At 42.6% G+C, this 21,880-nt stretch overlaps 1 long non-coding RNA gene across 2 annotated transcripts in view, besides 1 other annotated feature; it reads right to left on the minus strand.

Annotated features, from left to right (window-relative positions):
* The window catches only part of LOC102723436 (uncharacterized), a 50,981-nt gene extending 32,937 nt beyond the window's left edge, over positions 1–18,044 (minus strand). Inside the window, exons 1-3 of one of the 2 annotated variants that reach the window (XR_007066219.1) lie at positions 17,944–18,044; positions 16,264–16,699; positions 9,922–10,101 (exon numbers count right to left, since the gene is read on the minus strand). This is a non-coding gene — a long non-coding RNA (uncharacterized LOC102723436). The remainder of the gene's footprint in view (positions 1–9,921; positions 10,102–16,263; positions 16,700–17,943) is intronic. The other variant, XR_007066220.1, reaches the window with a different exon arrangement.
* Positions 4,507–4,666: an enhancer, noted in NCBI's record as "active region_1305". NCBI's record gives its function as "activates an Ori minimal core promoter by ATAC-STARR-seq in GM12878 lymphoblastoid cells {active_cell/tissue: GM12878}" and the evidence as "EXISTENCE:reporter gene assay evidence [ECO:0000049][PMID:35858748]".
* Positions 18,045–21,880: the final 3,836 nt, after the last annotated feature.

Here is a 21,880-nt window from a genome sequence, read left to right on the forward strand (position 1 = left end):
TAGTGTATACAAATTCTATTATATCAAAACTGTGTTCATCCCTGGGATTTTGTTGAGTCTAAAAAAGGTATTCTCCAGAAATAGACCTGCTCCCGTGTGACCACTTGAGAAAATTTAATTTAAAAAAGAGTCAAGATATTGATGCCAATTGACATTGGTTTTTCTTTGATGCAGAATGACAAATATGCCATCTTGTAGTTCTCATTTGAGACACATCCCAACTTGGCCATTCAGTATATTTACAAATCTATCTCAAAACAAAACGTTTGCTTTTTTATTCTTTTTTAGCCTCCTGGGATTATTTATTTATTCAATAAACATTTATGGAGCTCCTACTATGTGCTAGCCACTTGGAAACATGCTAGAGAGAGACATGAACAAAGTATTCCTTCCCCTATTCTAGTGAAGGGAGATGGCCAATAATCAAACAAACAAAATTCATAAACAAGAAAAGTATCAGAGAGTGGGAAGCACTACACAGAGAATTAGAATAGGGAGATTCAACAGACAGTAACTGGATGACTTCTTTATATCAAGCTGTCAGAAAGGTTCCCTAAGGAAGCAACATTTAAGCAGAGACATGTTTAACATTTGAGTAGAAGAGGCTTCCTGGAAGAGGAAAAATTCTGGATCCAAGGTTCTAGGACTTGAATAAACATGACATTCTGCCTCTGATCTCCTCAATTCTACCTCATTAAATTGTGAACTTCAGAGGGTCAAGAGCTGGATGATCCATTTTTATGATTAGAAAGTGATTCCTTCAATGAACCTACTACTTCTTCCTACATTCTTGTTAGAACTTTCTCAGCTATGAATCAGACTTTTCCAGGAAACTTCTACAGTCTTTACTTTGGTGACTACAACCACAATACTCAGTTGTTCCCAAGCAGAAAACTGAGGTTCATTCAAGACTTCAGTATTTGATCAAGATATTTTGCTTGGTAAGCTGGCTATTTTTTGATATAGTTTTATTTTCCCCATCTAGCTGGAATAAGATCATCAAAGTTGGTCATCTTACCTGACATAGCCTAGATATTTTCTTCTTCAGTACTAAACTTAGATGTCCCCACCTTTACAGAGTACATATTAGAGTAAGCAAGGCTAGGTTATAGCAAATAAGCCCCATAGTCCTTCTGTGGCTCTCCTCTAAGCAGTGACTTAGAGATCCTTATTGTTTTCATCTTATATTGCTGCCATCTGGATTCAGAGGTTACAACAGAAGGGAAAGAAAGTGGGAACATGGACAGTTGCACAGTGAATTTTATGGCCAGGCCTGAGAGTAGCATACATCATTTCTGCTCTATCCTATTGGATATCCAGTCATGTGGCCCCAACCTAAGGACTCCTAAGGGTGTCTGGGAAGTGTAGTTTCCCATGTGCTTGGGAAGTGATAGATGGCATGAAATTTGGCGACCCCCAAAGCTTTATCTCTGCTATAGGAAGCCACCCTTCTCTGTTATTCTCCTCTTCAGTCTGGGTTAGGTGCCCCTCTTCGACTGTAGCACAGTCTGATATATAATAGGCACTAAATATGTTTGTTGGTTAGATGAAATGAAAGATGGATTAATTGTAACCTAAGATCTTACGTCTATTAAAAGAGTGAACTAGAATTAATCAGTATTGAATTGGTTAATTAACAGAAAATTCTCTATTCATTCAAGGTATGCCTAAGAATTATAGGAAGAAATTGAAACTACACTGTTAAAAAATAGACTAGATTGGGGATCCCTAGGAAATTCCTTTTATTATTTCAACACACAACCTTAGTAGCCAAAGTCACTCCAACTCTCCTCCCCTCTGAGTCACTCTGGCAATCACTCTGTAGTTATTTCAAAGATTGGGAAATTTTCTGAAGGCAACATGGCCTGTCGATGGCATTGACTTTGGCTCCCCTCACCATCACTCTCATTGTTGCCATTAGCCCGTTTTTAAGGCCCTGAAGTTGGCTGCCCTTGAAATAAAGTGGGAAAACCTGCATTTGTGGGCCAGCTTGGTCCCCAGCCCAGTTCCCCAGCCAAAGAAAGTGAACAATCCTGTATTTGTGGCATCCTGAGCCTGCAGTGACCTTCCGGGCCAGCCAGGATGCCAGAGGGAATGCACATTCTCTGAAATGACAGTAGAGGAAGAACCAACCCATTGCCCCGGGACTAATGAATGGGTCCCTCTTTTCCCCCTGGGACAGCCTTAACAGGGCCACATGTAGGGCTTAACTCTTTTGTATCTTGAGCTTTATACATAGAGGCTGATCTGTCTTGTTTCTTAGCTGGAAATTAATTGGGCTGAAAATAGATAATTAGTTTTCAATGTTAACTGCAGTTATTTATTTATTTGAGTGATTATTTGATTAACGTATTTCTTTACCTTAATACTAGAGAGCAAGGACTATGTCTGCTTTGTTTTTCATTTTATTCCCTAGTAGTTAGCATAGTGCATGGCAGAGAGTAAGTTGTAGGGAAATATTTATTTACATGCAGAATGACTGTGGCAAACCTTGTCTCAAAGCTCAAGCTCTTATTTTGTTTTGTTTTAGCATTGTTTCCCCCGAGAGTGATCATTTCTGCTTCTTGTTATAAGTATAAAATACATTATCAAGTGGCTTCTGCTGTGTGTTTTTGACTCAGTGAATCCCAGAACCATCAAGACAGAGGCTGGGGATCAGCCCCTTCACCAGCTTTCAACTTTGGGCTGGTGGTGAAACCTCATTTTCAATTGCTTATGTATACATGTATCCTGAGTGTAATCAACAGGACTGCTCCACAAACCCAGGGGGTAAATACTGTCACATTTAGCTTCTTTACACAAAACAAGTAGCCTAAGTTCCCATGGTTTATCAGACTGTGGGATTAGCAGAAAGTCTAGCCTCTCCGTCTTGGGGCCCTCTGTCTCCCCATAACTTTTCCAAAATCCCAGAGGTTTACATAATTCAAAAAGAAGGGTCAGCCTGACTTTCACACTCCAGGGGGGGAAATGTTGCTGATCATTGCCACATGGCTGTGGAAAGTGCCCACTTGAGCCTTCAGATGATGTTAGTTCAAGGCTTTGCACAGGCTATTCAAGGTCTATCTGAGTCTGTTTGTGCTACAGTAACAAAATGCCTGAGCCTGGGTAGTTTATTATCAACAGAAATTTCTTTCTCACAATTCTGGAGGCTGGGAGTCCAAGATCAAGGCACTGGCAGGTTCAGTGTCTGGTTCCAAGATGGCACCTTCTTGCTTTATTCTCTGAAGGGGAGGAACAGTGTGTTTTCCCATGGGAGAAGAGTGGAAGAGCAACATGGACCGAAACTAGTTCCTCACACTCTTTTACAAGGCACTAATCCATTCATGAGGGCGGAGCTCTCCTGACTTAATCACTTCCCAAAAGGCCCCACCACTCAGTACCATCACATGGAGATTAAGCTTCAACACATGAATTTTGTAGGGAACGCATTCAAACCACAGCAAGGTCTCTTCAGGAAAATGATCAACCTTGTGTTCAGCTTGGCCAAGATGGCCCCTTGCTTAAGTTCCCAGAACTGCAGAAAGTTAGTTCTTAGTACTAACTTTCAGTCCCTTATGTGACCTTTCTGCAAAGATCCAGTCATCCAGAGGGGTGGCATCAGATTGTATCAGGCCGTCCAGCCCTATAGACCCCAAACTTCTGTATACTCTTCATCCCCTGGGACTATTACATTGCAGGTCTGACAACTTTTCCTATTCCATCTTTGAAACATAAAAAGTTCTCATTATTTCTCACTTCCAACAAATAGGGCTACCCACCGACTTCTTCATACTGGTCACCCGGATGGTCTCTAGGGGGCTCTATTGCCGTCAGGAGGAGGGAACTACTTGCAGTGCTTTAGGACAGTCTGTATTCCCAGACTTTCTGACACCTTTTTTAGTAGAGAAGAGAAGCTGGAGGGGGAGATGGAGAAGGAAGAATGAGGAGAACACTATAATAGAAGCTAAATATCGGCAGATCATTCTACTACACAGCTCTTCACACTGACTGTATAGGCAAATTTCCTGTTTATCCTGAGCAGAAGGCAGCCTTCCTTCTCTAAATTGTACCTACTCAAAAATTTAGGCTACAAACTTACAATCAGGAAGAAAACTGAAAGCTCTTCCTGTTGAGTCATCCGGCTTTAAAGTGCTGGATCTTTGCTGGACATTGTAGTAAATTAATTGAAAGTTTTGTGCAAAATATTATTTCAGGGGATGGGGTAGGCTCCTCGGATGAAACAGCAGTGTGTTTGTGAGGTCAAATTTTTGCTTCTTAGAATAAGAGTCACTTTGATTTTGGTGGGGCAGGATCACCCGTGGGAGGATAACTCATCCACACATATCAGACATGAATCCTTCAGTGAGAGATGGGGAGTGGGAGCAGAGTGGTCAGGGTATCCCTGTGAGGCAAGGGAGGGATCCTGACCTCTGGTGCACCTGACCTCTGGGGGACTGGCTCTTGGGTCCAACTCAAGGTTCCTTTTCAGGGCCTGTGGCATGTCCTCCAGGCCATACTGCCATCTTTAAAATACTGCCGGCACCTAGTTGTTACTGTCAGCACCTGGCTGTGGTAGGGGAGGACAGACACCGATGATTCACGAGGCGTGATCCAGAGCATTGTAACCATTAGTAGTAGGTGTGAAGGGAAATCATCAAACCATGTGAAGGTGGGAAAAGTTGTCACAAGTTGCAAATCTATAAGACAAAACTGTAAGACCAATGAAAATATTGAAAAAATTCACTGCACTCTATGAGGCTGCTGTGAGAAGCAAAAGAAGCAAGTGTAAAGCCTTCAGGTGTCACAGAAATAGGCCCCTGATCGTGCCTCAAACCATAAGACGTCAGAGCATGAAACACCAGTGAGGGAGAGTGATTGCGTTTCACAGATAAAGAGCCTATGAGCAAAACCAATCTTCCTTTCCTCTGAAGTGTGCCCCATTGCTGAATCATGCTGATGAGTTATCATGGTTTTCCTCCTGCATGATTTTCTTCTGTAATACTCATTTCAGAAGTTAAAAAAAAAACAACAAAACAAAACACAACAAAAAAACCTGCTACCTGTTTCTCTTTTTAATCCTGCATTTTAACAGACAGGCCAAGAGCAGGAGCAATTAGTCTCCCTGAGGATTTGCAAAGGGGAATTCCAATTGTGAGCGAGCTGTCATCCTTCTCCTTCAGTTGTTTAAATGTGATTCCATCTAATTCAGTTCCAGAGCAGGTGTTGAGCATCTTATGTGTGCAGACACTTACTAGGCACTGCTAGGATAGACTAGGACAGGCAGGATGCTGCCACTGCCCAGGTGGAGCACATCATCAAGCGGGGGCCACAGAGACATAGACAAATAGTTATCTGGAATTACAATGTGGAACAGAGGAGGGAGTGATAGATTTTATCTTAAAGGAGTTAGGGAAGGCTGTAGAGAGGGTGATGTGTGAGCTGGGTCTTCAAGGATGAGTTGGCCTTGTGGGCAAGACAAGAAATATCAAATAAGCTGAGTGGGAGCATAGAGGAAAGGCTAGGGTGCATAGAAGTGCATGGGGTAGAATGAGAGCCAGGATGTGTGTGGCTGGATGGAGGGTGAGGCCGATTTTAGAACAGTGATGTTCTAACAGGCAGGCAGGTTTAGGGTACAAAGGAGCTTGGATCCTTGCTCGGGACTTAGGCTTCAGGCAGAATTTCACTAGTACAGGCCAAAAGCTGGTGGCCCTGGAACGCAATGTGCAAGCAGCTCAGATTTCACAGGAGACTGCTTTAGGATGGAAGGTATTTCCTGGAGACCTTGCCACTGATGCCAGAAATTCCCAGCATTTCACTCACTCCTCAGAGGCCTCTGGAAATGTGCACATGCATGCTTCCTGAAAGGGGTAATACATTCACAAGCTGACCCCACTCTCCACGTGCTGAATGTCACTACCTAAAATCACTCACATTTCTGGAACTCAAAGGCAGGCTCTGGAGCTAGGCTACCTGCGTTCAAAGCCCAGCTCTACCACTTGCAGCCATGGAGCCTGGGGCAACCTACTTAACCTCAGAGGCCAGGTGACAGGGAGGCACCCACAAGTGAGGTGAGGCACACAGAGATGCCAGCAGCAGAGTGCAGAGAACGTGGGTGCAAATACATTCCTTTGCCCTCACACACCTTTTACCCTCACCAAGCCAATTCATAGCAGAATGCTCTAGAACAGTGTTGACCAACAGAAATATCACATAAACCATGGATGTAATTTAACATCTTTCTGGTAACTCAATTACAAAAAAAAAAAAATGGAAAGAAACAGTTGGAATTAACTCTTTTCCCAGAAAACGTTGTAAAGAGTAGCATGAAATTAACTTTAATAATATACGTGTTAACCAAATATATCCAAAATATTGTCATTTTAACGTGTACTTAACATTTTTAAAAATTAGTGAGATATTTTACATCTTCTTTTTGAGTACTAAGTCTCTAAAATCTGGTGTGTATTTTTTTTCTTACTGCATACCTCAATTTGTACTAGCCACATTTTAAGCTGCCATATTGAATAGCACAGCTCTAGTACAATGGCCCAAATGACTGTACTGAAATCATAACAATAGCTAATATTTCTTGACTACCAGCCAAGAGATCTTGGGCAAATTACTAACACTGTGCCTACAGTTTCCTTCTCTACAAAAAAGAAGTAATAATACAACCTAACTTATATTATTGTGAACATTAAACTGAGAGATACAGCTGAAGTCCTGAATAAGATTATTGTTTCTCTTTGCCTTTGCACATGTAATTTCCTCAGCCTGGAATGCCCTATCTTCTCCACCTGCAAATCCTTATTCATTCTTTTTATTTAATTTCAACTTTGCGAAGAACATTTTTATTGAAATATAAATCACATACCATAAAAATCACCCATTAAAGTGTCCAATTCAATGGCTTTGGTATACTCACAGAGTTATACAGTCATCACTATAGTCTAAGTCCAAAACATTTTTGTCACTCTCCATCCCCCTTCCCCCTCCCCAATCCTAGGCATCACGAATCTACTTTTTTTTTTTGCTTTTATTATTATTGATACATAATAGTTGTATGTATTTATGGGGTGCAGTGTGAAATTTAGATACATGTATGCAATGTGTAATGATCGAATCAGGATAATTAGCATATCCATCCATCACCTCAAACATTTATCACTTCTTTGTGTTGAGAACTTTCAAAATCTGCTCTTCTAGCTACTTAAACATATACAATAAATAGTTGTTAATTATACTCACCCTATATTGCTATTAGAACACTAGAACTTATTCCTCCTATCTAGCTGTATTTTTGTATCCATTAACCAATCTTTGGCTGTCTTCCCTCCCATCCTTCCCTTCCCCTTATTCATTCTTTAAGATCTTGTCCAAATGTCGCCTCCTCTGTGAAGCCTACCACCTTCCTTCTTAGGAAGCATCAGGTGTTCCTGGCTCTGGACCAACTCCTAATTTTGTTCAGACCTCTCTAACAGGGCTTCTTACCTTGCTTTGTGATTGTTTCCCTACCTGTCTTCCAGGATGAATCTGGAAGGGATTGCTGTATCTCATTCAAAGATACAGAATTTCCACTTTTTAATGTCTCTGAAATCAGGGTGCATTTATGTTACAATTGGCAGTGTTTTTTTTCTTTTTTTTTTTCATTGCTTGGTGAGACCAAACTAAAAAAGTAATGGCACAATGAGAGCATGTGGCATAGATTGGATGCGTGTTGGTATTTGTCTTTGTGTTCCCAGTCACTGAGCTCAATAAATGTAATAAATGTGTTGAATGTACTGACAACACTAGTAAAAGTTTACTGCAATTACCACACGTGTAAATTATTTGGCTGGCTGCCTCTCCTCTGCTCTGGATGGTAACCTCCCCAAGGGCAGAGACTGGGGGCCCTTTCATAGCAATGGGTTGGGCATCTCGTGAGAAGCCAAAATATAATACATGGTTTTTGAGGAAAATGTGCCCTTGAGTTGCAGGCAATGAAAGAAATCCCACCTTCCTCACTACAGCATGATTAGGCTTTAAAACTTCCTCCACCAAAATATCTGATTACTGCATTAGGAAGCAGAAGAGTCCAGCTAGAGTGCGGGATGAGAAATGTGCGGGCTGAGAAATGTGCGGGCTGAGAAATGTGCGGGCTGAGAAATGTGCGCTTGTGGGACCAGGAGACAGAGAGCATTTGCCCTCAAAGCTGCATGTTTCTTTGGAAACCCCATAGGGCTCCAAACAGATTATCTTTCAAAGAACTCATTACAAAGCAAAAAGGGCTTTTAAATTTCAAGTGTTTTAACAAAATCTTTTTTATCTAGAAGTTCCACTAATTGTGCTGTTTCTCTCCAGTTCATAAAATGATAAGCCAATAAACAGAATCATGCCAAGAAACTCTCTCATCAAGACAACTCCAACTATAAGCTGATACCAATCATTAGAGGGCTAAATATAATAATGCTTAGTCCAAAGAATGGGATGGAGGATGGAAAAATGGAGACCTTCTGGTTAGTGGTGAGCTCCAAGCTAGACCCTATCAGAAAGAAGGTATTTTAAAAGGCCCAAGTATGAAGTGTCTGGAATGTACATAGAGTTCCTATAAGCAAATATTGACTTTTAAATCTTTGAGATTATCTCAAAGCTGTTGTTTGAAGGTGCACCTTGATTTTTCCTTGATGAGTGGATTGGAGTTCCTGCCAAGTAACAAAAGGACTCAGTCTATTTGAGGGCTCTGGCCCAATTCAGACACACACAGACAGCATCCCCCAAACTACCACCATTCCTCCTTAGGGGAAATCATGTCTGCTCTGTCTTTAGTACCACAAACACCTTGATTAAACTAAGGATGTGTGGTTTTACTCCTCCTCACCACCCCTACCCGCCCCCACCCCTCCGCACCCGGCCCCTAGAAAAGAAAACCAATGCAGCTAAAGTAAATTGCTCCATGCCTCACCAAAATGTCAACCTGTCAGGTAGGCTCAGATTATCGTCCCAGGGTTAAGCCTGGCTAGATTTGGGCTGCAGGGGCTCCTGGGAGTACTGGCTAACTAGGCCCCTCTGAGGGCTCCTGCATCCTGTACTTGAAATCAATCACAAACCTTTAACTTCCTGCTTTCCATTCTCTTCCTTCTCTCTTCAAGTTCAGTTTAAATAAAATTACTCTGCTGAGAGATCTTTAAAAAAAAAAAACCAGACAAAAAAAAGCATCAGGCTGGGCACAGTGGCTCATGCCTGTAATCCCAGCACTTTGGGAGGCCAGCGCAGGAGGTTCACTTGATGCCAGGAGTTTGAGACCTGCCTGGACAACATAAGGAGACTCTATCTCTACAAAAAATTTAAAAATTAGCTGGGTGTGGTGGCACATGCCTGTAGTCCCAGCTACATGAGAGTCTGAGGTAGGAGGATCACTTGAGCCTGAGAGGTCAAGGCTTCAGTGAGCCATGATCACAGCTCTGCACTCCAGCCCGGGTGACAGAGCGAGATCTGTTATCAGAAAAAAAAAAAAAAAAAAAAAAAAAGGCCGGGCGTGGTGGCTCACGCCTGTAATCCTAGCACTTTGGGAGGCCGAGGCAGGCGGATCACGAGGTCAGGAGATCGAGACCATCTTGGCTAACACGGTGAAACCCCATCTCTACTAAAAAAATACAAAAAATTAGCCGGGCATAGTGGCGGGCGCCTGTAGTCCCAGCCACTCAGGAGGCTGAGGCAGGAGAATGGCGTGAACCTGGGAGGCGGAGCTTGCAGTGAGCCGAGATCGCGCCACTGCACTCCAGCCTGGGTGACAGAGCGAGACTCCGTCTCAAAAAAAAAAAAAAAAAAACAAAACCAAACCAAAACAAAACAAAACAAAAAAAAAAAAACAAAAAAAAACCCCATCAAGTAGAAACACCCCTCACCAGGTCCTTCTTACAGATACTCCCACCCCTTTCCTTCCATATCAATGTGTGCCCTTACCTAGCTTCTTTCTGGAGAAGATGCTTGCAGTCTGTTTCAAACTCTCCTAATTATGGCTCCTAATGGGTTAGGTAGCTAAGAGCCATATTAATGTGATGTTATTCAGCACATGCCTTGCCATTCCTCTTGCTTGACTCTGATAATCGTTTGCAGCTCCCATTCAGGAGGCATCCACAGTTCCTTGGAGAAGAAAAACACAACAGTTTCAATACGGTAGGTCCTATAGCAGAGGGACGAGCGTATGAGGGGAGAAAGAGGAGCTCTTAACTCTGTCTACTTAGTAGCTACCCATCCAGTGCTTGCTATGGACTCACCCTACTTGGCCTTGGGCAGCCCTCTCTTAACCAGCCCTCTTGACCAATTCCTTTCCCTTTATTTCAGCTGAAACAAAGCTGGGATTTTTTCCCCCTCAAATAATTGTACTGAAATTAAGGAGGAAGCTAAGGAGGAGCAATACAAAAACACAGAAGTAGATGAATTTACAGAGTCACAGATTTCTTATCTGACAGAACTTCCTGGGGATTCAGCTTCCTTCCCCACACTCGCACTCTCCATGAAAAAGACCCCGACCCTTTGTGTACAGTAAGATAAACACATTTCCAAAGGGGATGGGCCCCTCACTTGTGGAGATAGTTCTCTCCCTTTATCCTGGCCCACCCCTTCAGCCAAGGTCCTGAGACTAATTTAAGTAGAACATGATCAACATTAATCCTACACAACTTTAAAAAAAAAAACAAACCAATATGAACCCAAACTGAGGAACATGCAATAAATAACTGATTTGTAATCATCAAACACATAAACATCATGAAAGTAAAGGAAAGAGAGAGCTGTTTCAAAATGACAGAGACTAGAGATGTCTCTGTCAAACAAAAATGCAATGCATGAATCTAAAATGGATACTTTTGCTTTAAAGGACATTATCAGTAAAGGTTGAATGGGGTCCAAAGATTAAAAGGTAGAATTGTACCAACATTAATTTCCTGATTTTGATAGTTGTATTGCAGTTACATGGGCGAATGTCATTGTTTATGGGAATACACACTAACATATCCACTGGTGATGGGACATTTGAGAGCAACTTGCTCTCAAATGGTGTAGAAAAAATATGTTCTTTGTACTATAGTTTAAATTTGAGATTGTTTTAAAACAACAACAAGCTACTCTGAATCCAACAACCTAATTTTCAGGAATCTAATCCAAACATATATTGTTGAAAAAAAGGTAACCGACTAGTATTATTTTTTGCCAGCAAAGGTGAAATAACTCCAATGTTCACCATAAAGGGACTGGTTGAGTCCCATCATATACACACATTAGAAAAGGGAAGAAAAAGTATCTGTATATACCACTATGGAATGATTTTCAAGATATAATAAGCTAAATAAATAAAGTAGAGAAAATTGTCTATATATACGTATATATATATATATCTGAGAAAAGGAAACGTATGTGTGTAGTGCATTTAAAAAAACAAAAAGAAGAATAAATAATAAAATTTTAAAGTCAATGATTACTTTTAACAGACAGGAGGAAATAATGGAGGAGATCTGAATAGAAGCCACACTAAATATGTTTTGGTAGATTTGACTTTGGAACCACGTAAATATTTTTTGTAATTACCAAAAAATTATATTTTAAAAAAGGAATTCCAGAAAATAAAATGAAATAAATTATCCTAAACATGAATATAGTTTGCACAGCCACACAGAGGGGAATTATTCCATGAGACTTAAACCTTCAACTTGACTGCAAGTCCCTATATACAATAGGGACAATAACTACATAAACAAAAACCACTTAAACTCTTTTCAGGAATTATATTGTTGGGGAAAATGTTGGTAGTTTTTCTGAGATGCGCATGTGTGTGTGTTTTATGATAGAACAAATGCATAATTATGTAATAATCTATAATTCCCAGTGTCTTTAAAAATGAAGATTCTCAACTTTGAGAGAAAGGAAATATAGGATTGAAGACATTAAGCAAAATCCCTGCAATTCTGAATTTGAATTGGAAATATCAATATGAACTGATGTTGGATGTTATCTTAAGACATAAACATATTTCCTAGTTCTGTCTACCAAAAAGGCCTAGCACCAATGGCTGCCTAGTTAGCATACAGCACCCCCAGGGCCCAGAGTGAGCTCCAGAAATGCCATTTCTCACTAAAAGGAACAAGGATTCTTTGGATAGATGGTTGGTTACACATTTAGAACAGGAAATGTACAAGATGTGCCTGGAATACCTTGTCATAGTAGATAGCAAGGAAGTTATCAAAAACTACCAGAATTGTATCAAAAGACTAAAGAGCCAACTTAGATTCCCACTGGCCAAAGATGAGGTAATTTGAAAATCAATGACAGTAATTGCAATAGACTAAAATGCATCAAATACGTTTAAATCATGAGTTCATGATGATTCTAAAAGATAATAATTGGCCACCCTTGAAGGTGGCTAGTGAATCCTTTTTTTAAGAATACTGGTAAATAAGAAAAAAAAATTGAGCATTTGTCCTGCCTTTTCTATATGAACAATTGTACTGGGTAACCAAGTAACAGAAAAGGAGAAGTTCCTCTTCTCTTTATGGAAGTATTACAGTTAAAAATGAAAAAGGAATGGTTGAATTAGAATACCACCATTACCATTTTGCAATTTCTAATGAATTAATGGATCTAGAAATTGATCATTAACAGCTGCTAGTATCACAAAAGAGAGAAACCAAATATTACATACTTCCTGATGGAAGAATATGCCACCATCTATGAAGCAATCTTACCAAAAAATTTTTAAAAGACCAAACCTGAAGCATATCAAGCCCAAGATCCAACTACCAATTTACAGAAAGAACAGAGAACAGAGCAACAAGTAAAATGACACCACAGGGTTGCAGTCAGAAAACTCCAGACTGTGAGAAAATCTACATGACCAACAGTCTGGTTTCTTCAAGGGTACTAAAAGAGAGAAAGAGAGTGGGAGAGAGAGTGGAATCTATAGATCAAAAGAAACATAATGAGACACAGCAACCAATCACAACGTGTGGGCCTTATTTGGATCCTGAATCAAATAAGGACACTTTTTAAAAGGAATTATGACATTTATGAGAAATTAATATTTGAACACTGGCTGGATATTTGATGAGATTAAGGATTTGTTGTTATTTTTTAAATGTGATTATGGTATTGTGCCTTTAAAAAAATTAGTTCTCTTTTAGATGTTCATACATAACTGCTTACAGAGAAAATTATATGATGTCTGGAATTTGCTTCCAAATAATGCAAATGAGGTGACAGAAGTGAGTGGGGGTGTGTGTAAAACAATGTTAACCATGAGTTCATAACTGTTGAAGTTGAGTGATAAGCACTGTTTTAGATGTTTGAAATCTTGCGTATTCATCTACCTGTGTACATACTTAGAATTTTCCATAATACACAGTTTAAAAATAATACCAACCCTGTACCAGGAACTAGGCTGGCATTGACACACCTAAGCCATGAATTGGCATCACAGAAAAACACTGTCAGAACTTTTCCTTCATGACTTACACATGTGGGAAGGGAGAGGAACTTGGTGGCAACGCCCTTAACTCTCCTCTGACTTGATGAATATGCAGTTTCCTTTGCCAAATTGGAAATTGAGAGGAGAATGCAGCCCTGTCTAAACTAGCTTCTCTGCAGAGCTTGTTGAAGGCCGGAACCATTACTCAGGGTCCAGCTGCACAGCATTCTCATCCACCCAGCAACACATGCAGAGAGCTGTGAGATCAACATAGGGCCACATGTGGGTTTGAACAAAGAACAGTCAGACAAAAGCCCTACAGACGCTCCTGACCTCTCTCTTGGCCCCTGGGCCTTCCATGGAAATGCGAACTTTCCTTTGACACTCACATGACACCCTTTGGCCCTTAACAACAGTCCTATAGAGAGTGGGCAGTGCCCTTTGGCTGCATCAAGGGCAGGGGGCTCAATGCTCTAAATTGCTGGCATTCACACCACAATCTCCTCTTATTTCTAGGCCCCACCCTATTTATACTTTAGCTTTGTGGCATTTGAGAGTAGAAACATAAATTCAGCTAGACACTCCACTGCCCAGAGGGGTGACCTTTATTGTACATGCCTGGGATGTTTTCCCAGGGAATCCAAGAGAAAATGGCTTCATCAGAGATGTGTGGTACTATAGAAATGCCTAACCAGGGCCTGCGCCTGGGCACAGGTCTCCCTGGCTTGCACGTGACTTGAATTTGGCTTGCAATGAGGGAGTATTTCTGTGGGGGCCCATTCATTCACTCATTTACTCAAGCACATGCTGAGCCTCAACATTAGAAGCTCTGGAAGATACAAAGAAGAAAAAGACAAAGTCTTTGCATGGAAAAGCTCTCAGGTAGGTCGGGGAGAAAGACATATTCACAAATAACTTCAATTTAAGGCAAGGTGTGATCAGACCATGACTGAGGAGTTCAGAAAAGGAGAGAAAATTCCCAACTGCAGTAAAGTTGGAGGAGGTGAAGCAGGAAGCAGATGTTAAAAGCTGAATAAAATTTTAGGCCGGGCTCAGTGGCTCATGCCTGTAATCCCAACACTTCGGGAGTCTGAGGTGGGTGGATCACCTGAGGTCAAGAGTTCCAGACCAGCCTGGCCAATATGCTGAAACCCCATCTTTACCAAAAACACACAAAAACTTAGCCAGGCATGGTGGCGGGTGCCCGTAATCCCAGCTACTCGGAGGCTGAGGTGGGAGAATCACTTGAACTCAGGAGGCAGAGGATGCAGTGAGCTGAGATCACAGCACTGCACTCCAGCCTGGGCGACAGAGTCAGACTCTGTCTCAAAAAAAAAAAAAAAATGTCAATTTCAGTAGTCAAGAGATGGGGTGGGGGTGTGGGGAGTTAGGGTTGGGTGAGGGTGCAAGGAGAACAGAAAATTTCAGGTAGAGAAAATATCTTGGACAAAGTCACGCAAATAGAATTTTATAAAGTTTTCTGCAAGTATGATGAGTAAACCCATCAGTGGTGGAGATGTCCATACATGCAAGGAGCAAAGCTGAACCTTAGGAACTAATATGGTTTATTTTATTTCCTTGTTGCTGTCCATTGGTTTTCCAGAATGCTAGTGATCTCCAAGTTGTCACCTATTGCTTGATAATACATGGAACAAATTAACCAATCCTGAAAGTGGAATTTGAGAATTGGGTCAAAATGATGTGGGGTACAGCCCCACTTATTTATACCAAAGACGCTTTTTACTAACCTCTTGAATCTCTTCCCAGTCTCGTGGTTGGATCAAATATCTCACCAACTTCTTGGTGAACAATGGAAGATCCACATGGTTTGGTTTTTATGAACCTTAGCACTACAGACATTTTAAACCAGGTAATTCCTTTCGATGGGAGGCTGTCCTGTGCATTGAGGATGTTTAGCAACATTTCTGAGCTCTACCCATTAGAAACCAGTAGCACTCACCCCCCAGTTATAACAACCAAATGTGGGGGTGACAGCGGTGTGGGGGGCAAAATTGTCCCCAGTTGAAAACCACTATACTTTAATATATAAAGAAACCAAAAAGATATTAAAAGCTTACATTTATTGGGTGTTTATTACGTATAGGCTCTGTATTAAGTGTTTCCATATATTAACCCTTTTAATCTTCCCACGATCCAATAAAGTATAGGTACAATTATGATTCACATTTGACAGATTAAGAAATTATTTGCATTTACAGAAGGGTTTATCAATGTATCCAGACTCACACTCCTTGTGAGTAGCAGATTCAGGATCTGGCTCAAGCGCTCTGACACAGGCACCCACCCTCCTGGCCACCAAGCTACATCGTACAAGTCCCCAGGCTCCTCAGGCCTTTCTCCTGGAGGGGCCAACCAAATGGTGTGGGCACCAATAACAGAAGCCCCGGCTGGCCAGCAGCCTCAACTGAATTGCTGGAAACCTCACTTAGCAGGCCACAGGGATGGAACACACGTTGCTTGGGATCACTATGGGAGCCTCCTCACTGCCATGTGGTCTTTTGTTTGTTTTGTTTTGGCTGGAATGCACTGGCATGATCTTGGCTCACTGCAACCTCCACCTCTTGGGTTCAAGCAATCCTTGTGCCTCAGCCTCCCAAGCAGCTAGGACTACAGGCATGCACCACCACACCTGGATAATTTTTTATTTTTAGTGGAGACGGGGTTTCTCCATGTTGGCCAGGCTGGTCTCAAACTCCTGACCTCAGGTGATCCACCCACCTCGGCCTCCCAAAGTGCTGGGATTACAGGAGTGAGTCACCACACCTGGCCTGCCAGGTGGTGTTTACTCTCCTCCCTGGCACTCCCTTGAGGACCAAGTGGCTCACCTGTATTCCACATCAATGACATCCTTTCTGGAACAGCTTCGAACCTTTTAATGCCCCATGACCACATCTCCTGGTTATCATGTTGACCTCTTTTCCATGGAGTACTAGTCATCCTTGGCTTCAACATGGAGGTGGGGAAATTCCCCCAGAAGGGATACGATTGTCCTTTAGGCCACAAGACATGAAGTTTGGTCACAAAGTTAACAGTGGCAGTTATGCTTGCCTCTCCAGCATCGGTTCTCCCTTCCCTCAGTGCCTGTACTGATTGTCATTCAGGTATACACACTGCCCCAGGGCAGCCTTGACTTTGGGCAACATGTAGGTGAATATTCTGAAAACATTCACAGACAAATTTGAGTTCAGATCCTGGTTCCACCATGTAGTAAACGTGCCACCTGCACAAATTAATTGCCTGTTTCAGCCTCAGTTTCCTCATCTGTATGAAAGTATAGAGAAAAGGAAACTATCATGTAGAATTATGATATGGATTAGGAATAATATATTCTGTAAAGTGCTTGCTTTCTGGTATTATTATTAACAGTTATTAATCCCTTCGGAGGGGTTTGTATGCCAGGTTGCTTCTTGGCGTTATTTACAGTCAGCTGAGAGCAAATGGAATGTGGAAATGAACATTATGATGGCAGACAAGGCTAGGAAAAAATGCAGAGCAGAGCACAAGTTCTGGACAGCAGTCTGGAGTCTGGTGGTGCCAAAACTTGGCGGGGCACAGTGGCTCATGCCTGGGATTCCAGCACTTTGGGAGGCCGAGGCGGGAGGACTGCTTGAGCCCAGGAGTTTGAGACCAGCCTGGACAACATGACGAAACCTCATCTCTACAAAAAATTTAAAAATATGCCGGCTGTGCTGGTACATGCCTGTGGTCCCAGCTACTCAGAAGGCTGAGGTGAGAGGATTGCTTGAGCCTGGGGAGGTCGAGGCTGCAGTGAGCCATGTTTGTGCCACTGCACTCCAGCCTGGGCAACAGTGCAAGACTCTGTCTCAAAAAAAATTGGAGGCCGAGGCAGGCGGATCATGAGGTCAGGAGTTTGAGACCAGCCTGGCCAACATGGTAAAACCCAGTCTCTACTAAAAATACAAAATTAGCCAGGTGTGGTGGCACACACCTGTAGTCCCAGCTACTTGGGAGGCTGAGGCAGGAGAATCGCTTGTACCTGGGAGGCAGAGGTTGTGGTGAGCCAAGATTGTGCCACTGTACTCCAGCCTGGGTGATGGAGTGAGACTCCATCTCAAAAAAAAAAAAAAAAATAGCAGTACTAAAAATAGGCCTATTTCAATCCTAGTTTATTAATTAACTATAATCAACCTCCCAATAAATGAACCTCAGTGAGTTGGTTTTCAGTGGGTTGTAAGCCAAGACCAGTCCAAAGTGATCTCTGAGCTGGACCTCCCATGGCCTTATGCCAATTTCTGAAATATTGTCTCACTTATTTCCTACCAATATGCATCCATCACAAACTCAGATGATACAACTCATTTCTGGGTGTTTTCTTCTTAAAGCCTACAGGAACAATTATGGACAGTTTCAAATCATACAAATATCTACTATTTAGTGAGCACCTACTATATAGCTTTGAATCCTTATTCTGCTCTTGCAGGCTTCTTATCCCCATTCTACACCCAAGGAAGGAAACAGAAGCTCAGAGAGGTTAAGTGACTTACCCAAGGTCTCCCACCTAGTAAGTGGCTGGGCCAGGATTCAAAGCTAGGACTGTCTGACTTCTTTTTTACTTCGTCTTCTAAAGCTCCAGGCTAGAATGACTGACTTCTTTTTGATGATGCAAAGCTACCTCTTGATCCTATTACCCCATCAATAAGTGGGTGTGTGTGAGAGAGAGAGAGAGAGTGTGTGTGTGTGTGTGTGTGTGTGTGAGTGACAGAGAGAGAGAGAGAGGTGTCCTCTGGGCCTAGAACAGCTGGCAGGATCCTCTTTCACCTTATATACTGCTGGTGGAGCCAGGCAATGATTGAATGTGCAAAGTCACAGAGTAGGAAGCGGAGGTAGGTCACTCACAAAGGAGAGCCACAGGAAGGAAGGAAAGAAGGGAGGGAGAGAGGAAGGTCAAGAGGGAGGGAAGGAAGAGGAACGGAAGAAGGAAGGAAGAGAGAAAAGAAAAAAGGGAAGGCGTGAAAGCAGGAAACTGCTTTCTCCTGTCTTGTTAAGAGTGACTCAGAGGGACATTTCCAGAGGGCTGGCCAGTAAAGAGCAGCCTTTCCCCGTGAGGAGGGTGGAGAGCATGGCTGCTGGCGGAGCTCCATCACTCTCACTCACAAGGCATGTGCCCTCTGAGGAGGGTGTTGACAGCACCATTTTCACCTCAGAGGGAGAGGCGTTTCTGTTCACATGGAAGGGCACATGTGAGGGGTATTTGGTCAGGAATGCATTACAGACTCAAAGAAGAAGCTGGCATGCCCAAGAAGAGTCACTCCAACGTGGAGAAAATGCAACCAAGATGTTGGCTCAGATGCTCACAAGAGGCTGCCAGAGATGGTCTCAGAGTCCCCAGTTCTGAAGCACCCTCCAAGTACTCAAAGATCTGCATCACAAAGGCTGTATTAAGAAAGCACAGAAATTTTACAGTCAGAACATTTCTGTAAACACGTTGGTTTAATCCCAATTTTACAGCTCAGCTACTCTCTGTAACACACAATCCATAAAGCATTTACAATATTGTTCAAAATCTATACACTATTTACATTCCCTGCCCTCCGTGCAGGTACGGTGAATCGAGGAACTTGGCCAGAGTCCTGGAGAAACAGCTAAGACTCAAGAAACCACAAAAACTAGCAACAAGAACCCTGAATAAGACGTGTAAAGAACAGGGAGCCCCAAAGACAAGTCCTCCAAATCAGGAGGATCCGGTCACATGTGGGCAAACTCAGGGAGATAGGAGTCCTTGGTAGCCTCCTCCAAGTGACCAGATGGATGATCAGCCCTACCTCACAGCCCATGGTTTATGCGAATCTGTTTTTCTAATACTCCATCAAAAAGCACCTCCCTTTGGTTACTCAGTGAGGGGCATAAATGTCCATTGTGGGCTGATGCAGTGGCACGCGACTATAATCCCAGCTACTCAGGAGGTTGAGTGGGAGGACTGCTTGAGACTAGGAGTTTGAGTCCAGCCTGGGACACATAGTGAGACTCTGTCTCTGAAAAAAGAAGAAAAAATGTGGATTGCTTCTGGCCATTCAAATTTCTCCAGCAGTAACCTGGGCCCTGGGATATTTTCCCCAGTATGGTCCTTGGTCACTGCCCTGGGCCTGTTGACATGGCAACTACACCCAATACGGCTTTACAGGTCAGCCTCTGCCCACTCAGGGCAGGCTGCCCAAAAGGAGCCCAGGGCTGGCAGGATCTCTTGCCTGGCCCTCAAGTGAGTTCACCCCTCATAAGGGTAGACCCAGGTTCAGCGAGTCCTCAAGCCCATATAATTTCTGCCCTTTTAAAGAAAAGGAACACAAAATTACAAACTGAAAGTGAGGTACAGGGCCTGGGGAGAGGCCGGTACAAGAGAAAGGCCCCAAAGCGTAAGCCTACCTTTGAAATAAACCCACTTCTGCCTTTCCCTAAGCTCTGACCACCCAAGGAGGTCTTCAATGGCTCCTCTCAGGTGGCAGGAAGCCTCTGGGCCTGGCATGGCTGGCAGGATCCATGGCAGTAGGCTTCACCTAATTTCCTTGGCACACAGAGATGCTTAATTGTTGATTTTCAAGCTCAGAGTAGAAAGCAAAAAGATCAGGATGAGAGGTAAAACAAACTCAGCAATACCGAGGACTATTCATAGTTTGAAGAATTGGGTTAATCAATTCAAAAGTAATCATTTTAAAAAATCATTTTAGAAATTGTTATTATACAGAATATTTGCTGTTTTAAATGAACTTACGGGATATTGTTCACCAGCATATAGCATTTTACATTTATCGATTTTTGTTGTTTTTGCTGTTATTCTTCAATCCTGTAAATCCCTGGAGACCCAGCTCAACCACTGCCTTGGGACCCAACACCCTAAAAATGGATCTATTACTCAGCTACACACTGAACTCAGTAAAATGTTCTGCCTTTTGCCTCTACAGCAGCCTGGCTGCCAACGAGGACAAGTCTAAGGCAGGAAGTACATCTCACGTCCTGCTTAGATTTGATCCTTTGGCTGCTCAAGCTGCTGTGATATAATGAATAGAAGAAAGAGACATCTCAGAATCCATAGTGAATTAGACCAGTGAGCCAAGTAGCCATGTCAAGCAGGGACAAACAGCCCCCTGCCTCACAGGGGATGGAACCTATGTCTGCAAAGGTACAGGCAGCGCCTCAGACCGGAGTGGACCTCAAAAACAAGGGCTCCAACCCAGCAGCAAGACCTGGGTCCAAAAGAAAGTGTCCTTTGGATGCCACAGGCTTTGTTATTGGAAACCCCAGGCCAGAGAGGGAACTGAAACTGTTTAATTAGGGACATACCCGCGTGTCAGGAAACCAAGTGTGACCCTGGGAGGGGTAAAGTTCCGGTTGGGAGGAGACTTGGATGGGTAAGAGGAGGGCGGTGGGACAGGCAGACGCACCCAAGGGAAGGAAAGGACCGAGATAGGGCAGCCAGCTGCCCTTGGCTCCGAGTCCTGAGGAGGCAGCATCTCTTCTGTGCACAGACAGTTCTTTAAGGATTGAAGCTGGGCTGCCTCAACCCGCCCAGGAGAGCAAGGGCGACCAGGACCATCCCTCTGACTCCTTTTGACTGGAAGGCAACAAAAGTGTTTTCAGGAGGTTCTCTGCTCATATCAAATCTCCTCACTTTGGAAACTTCTTGCTGGCATTTCCTGGTTGCGTCTGCCTCTTCTCAACAGACTTGAAGGTCTCTGGGAGAACATGCCTTATCTAATTAATAATCGCTTCCTCTTATTGAACTCTTACTGTGTGCTAGGAATTGTCCCAGGTATTTTACCCTAAATTGTCTCACTTACTTCTCCCAATGCAATTTTTTACCTCATGAACTCAATGCTTAGATCCTAATTTATTTGCCTGAGATCTCATGGCTAGTTAGGTAGGTGTAACTAGCATGCGAGCCCAGAATGTCTGACTCCAAAGCCGTTTACTAAAGGTTTGTCAAATTCATTGAACTAGTTCCTACTGGATGTGAAAATAAGCATATAATCAACTCTTTTTAACTTTTATTTTAATTTCATGGGTATATGTGCAGATTTGTAAGTAAACTTGTGTCATGGGGGTTTGTTGTACAGATTATTTCATCACCCAGGTATTAAGCCCAGTACCCATGAGCTGTTTTTCCTGATCCTCTCCCAATAGACCCCAGTGTCTATTCTCCTCTATGTGTTCATGAGTTCTTATCATTTAGCTCCCACTTACAAGTGAGAACATGCAGTATTTGGTTTTCTGTTCCTGCATTAGTTTGCTATGGATAATGGCCTCCAGCTCCATCCATGTTCCTGCAAGGGACATGATCTCATTCTTTTTTACGGCTGCATAGTATTCCAGAATATAATCAGCTCTTGACTTGCAATTATTAAAAATAATTCCAAAGAAATTAATCCAAAATTCATCAATTTTTGACCCTGAAATATGTTTTTGTACATATGTTTAAATATGTGTATG

Source organism: Homo sapiens, chromosome 1 (genome assembly GCF_000001405.40).
Source record: "Homo sapiens chromosome 1, GRCh38.p14 Primary Assembly".
Taxonomy (NCBI): Eukaryota; Metazoa; Chordata; class Mammalia; order Primates; family Hominidae; genus Homo; species Homo sapiens.